The sequence below is a fragment of the Homo sapiens genome, chromosome 2, assembly GCF_000001405.40.
Source record: "Homo sapiens chromosome 2, GRCh38.p14 Primary Assembly".
Taxonomy (NCBI): Eukaryota; Metazoa; Chordata; class Mammalia; order Primates; family Hominidae; genus Homo; species Homo sapiens.
The window spans coordinates 20960109-20963414 of NC_000002.12; the positions used below are offsets into that span (position 1 = coordinate 20960109).

Consider the following 3306-nt stretch of genomic DNA (forward strand, 5'->3'; position numbering starts at 1 on the left):
CTGTCATATGAGAACCTCAGGGCTTTGTGATTCAGGAGAAGTGTGGAAGAGGCCACAGCTGCAGATGTGAATGGTGCACAGCTGTGGTTTCTTGCCCAGGCCATGTGGTTCATTAGAAGGCAGCTGGCTCCACTGTCAGCCTTGTTCCTACTCTGCCGAGCTCTGCAAGGGGTACTTCCAGGGTAGGCTCAGCCCTGATGCTCCTAGCCACATCTCCGTGGCACCTCTGGCAGGTCCAACTGCTCTCCAACTCTGTGTGCAAATGGGATAGGGACCCCTTCCACCCTCCAGCCTCAGGATCCCACTCCCTGGAGGCAGACCTCTTCTCTTTGTCCCTTAAAGAACCAGCTTCCAATTCCTTCCCAGCTAGGACAGAACCAGACAATTCTTCCTATGGCCTTGGTTTTCCAAGAGAAGGTCACCTTTGTCTCACCTGGTGATGTCTCCCCTGAAGCACAGAAGAGAATCACGAGTACTTGTTTCAAAGAAAATGACCAAAATCTGTCTTAGCTTCCCATCGCTGCTATAACAAGTCACCACAATTTGCTGGCTTCAAAAAACACACATGGATCTTACAGTTCTGTAGAAGTTTGACATGGGCTTCACTGGGCTAAAAGTAAGGTGTTGGCAAGGCTGTATTCCTTTCTAGGACTGATGTAATTCAACTCTGTGTCCCCACCCAAATCTCACATTGAACTGTCTGTGTCACCACCCAAATCTCACATTGAACTGTCTGTGTCACCACCCAAATCTCACATTGAACTGTAATTCTCAATGTTGCAGAAGGGGCCTGGTGCGAGGTGATTGGGCCATGGGGGCAGACTTCCCCCTTGCTGTTCTTGTGATAGTGAGTGAGTTCTTACAAGATCTGGTTGTTTAAAAGTGTGTAGCCACCTTGCACCTCGATCTCTCTTGCTTCTTCTCTGGCTGTGTAAGATGTGCCTGTTTCCCCTTCACTTTACGCCATGATTGTAAGTTTCCTGAGGCCTCCCCAGCCATGCTTCCTGTGCAGCCTGAGGAACTGTGAATCAATTGAAGCTCTTTTCTTTATAAATCACCCAGTCTCAGGTAGTTCTTTACAGCAATGCGAGAACAAGCTAATACAGGGATGAATTCATTCCCTTCCCTTTTTCACCTTCAAGTGCCTGTATTCCTGGGGCCCCGGCCCCTTCCTTCTTTTTTGAAGCCAGTAGCTGAGCATCACTCCAAACCGCTCATAAGGAAATGGCATTCTACTTGAGTAGCAGACAGGTGAGCCAACAAATACAATCTCATGTGGTAAGCGAAGAACAGGTTCAGGGAAGAAGCATGGTCAAAAAAGGGCCCAGTACCCTGGGTGAGAGAGGGATGGGTTCTCAGAGGGCTGCTACTCAAGCCAAGGCTTATCTTACCTCCTCTACCCAACTGTGGAAAAACTTGAAGAAGTAATTGGGTATAACTCATCTTCTTATTTTCCTTGATGCTAAATTCACTGCTTTGCAACCTGTAGACACCCAATAAATATCACTTGCAATGAACCAGTTCTCTTCTGAGTCATTTTTGTCTTCTGGGCTACAGTTGCAGATGGGAGATGAGAGAACAGTGCCAAGCTAGAGGGCTGAGCTAGCATCCTCAGGACAGAGCCCTAGCTTTAGGGCTTGGCAGATTTTTATTGTCATGCATTTTCTTCCCTTAGCAGAGATGAATTCCAGAATTGAGGCAGGAAGCTCTCTGTTTAGTTGTGGGACCTCACCAGGAATTCACCCCAGACATCAGGGAATTAGATTTAAAATCTCGCCCTTGCATTTAAGCAGGGCTTTAGGATCACTTGGGGGTTGATAATTGATAGATGTCTCCTCGTTTGAGTTTCTTCATAAAATAACATGCAGGGAGCAAGGGAATGAAATTGAGCAAGTGAAATACTTGGCAGAGTCTCAGGAAAGACGTTAAGAATAGATCTATGAGCTGTGCCCCATGGCGGGGGGGTTGCTTCTGAGTCGGGAGGTGCATGGGTTGGCGGCAGGAGGAAGCGTCATGGAGCCTCTGTTTCTGAGCCCATGTGTTGAGATTCCAGCCTCTAGTCAGAAAATTCCCCTTGCAGCTTCTGCCTGGTCCAGCCCCTGAGCCATGAGCATCTTCTGGTCCTCTTGCCTCAGATTGTTCCCCATTCACTCTTCCCATCTTCTCCTTCACACAAACTTCAGGATCAGGACCCACAGAGGTCTTGGGACCTGTAGGCTGCGGGAGAAGGCTGTGGATGTTTAAAACCACATGTCACCACCTCCTGGCAGGGGCTGGCTAAGGACAGGACTAAACTCTCAGTGGTGAGTTAATGTTTGCTGAGGGAATGAATGAAGGAATGACATAGGCAAAATGAAGCTAAATTATCCGTTAAGGTTATCTATGGTACTTTCCCTGGGCCATGATTCTCCCTCTTAGATGGGAGGAGCTCAGCTCCCTAGACCCCTCCTAAGCTCTTGCAGGGCCTGTAGCATCCAGGGATAACAGAGCAGAGGACTGGGGCAGCCTACTTTCTTTGAAGGGCCACTCTCCATGCCACCCTTTGAATCAGCACTGGTGACCAATTAGTAGAGTGTGATATGAGTAGTGGATGAAGACCTGTCTAGCATTAAAAAAAAGAGACAGAATTGAGAAATAAGGGTATTGCTTTGTAAAAATGTGCTGCTGTTTTGCACATGATAGACAGTATACTAAAAGTGGCTTGCAACGTTAAATGTATTTCTTACCATGGGTCAAGGTCAAAAAAGTTAGAGCATCCAGCATCTCAGAATTGCTGAGGGCTCTCATGCTCCCTGGGAGGAGATGCTAAGGTCTGACCAGGCAACTTCAATTGTAAAATAAAGATGCCTAACCATCCACAATGACCTCTTCCTGAGACCTTGGGGGCAAGTGGAGGAGGACTGGCTGGGAGTAAGAGGCCAGGGCTCTGAGCCTCCATCTGTGTGTACTTACTGTGAGCCTTGGGCACATTGCTAATTCCTCTTCCACCTGTTTTCTCCTCCAATGTGGAGGTTACATTGTGTCTGTGTGCACTGCTGCCCTCTGGTGGTGAGCTCTATACTTCACTGCAGCCACGGCATCCAATTTGGGTTTGTTGACTGGCTTGTGGCTGTCCAGATTTTCCCCTCTTCTTGTTCTCAAAAGGTGAGCCTTACCCCCAGGTGGAGTAGCATCCCACATGTTAAAAAAAAACTCACATGTGTTGTGAGTTTTCTGCAAAGGCCTCTGCTGTTCAAATGCGTTGCCTGGAGATACTCTCATGCGAGAATGTAAATCAAAGGGCAAGCTAATAGGGAACTACTTTGT

General features: G+C 47.8%; 1 annotated feature.

Moving 5' to 3' along the window:
* Positions 2946-2995: an enhancer, noted in NCBI's record as "active region_15409". NCBI's record gives its function as "activates an Ori minimal core promoter by ATAC-STARR-seq in GM12878 lymphoblastoid cells {active_cell/tissue: GM12878}" and the evidence as "EXISTENCE:reporter gene assay evidence [ECO:0000049][PMID:35858748]".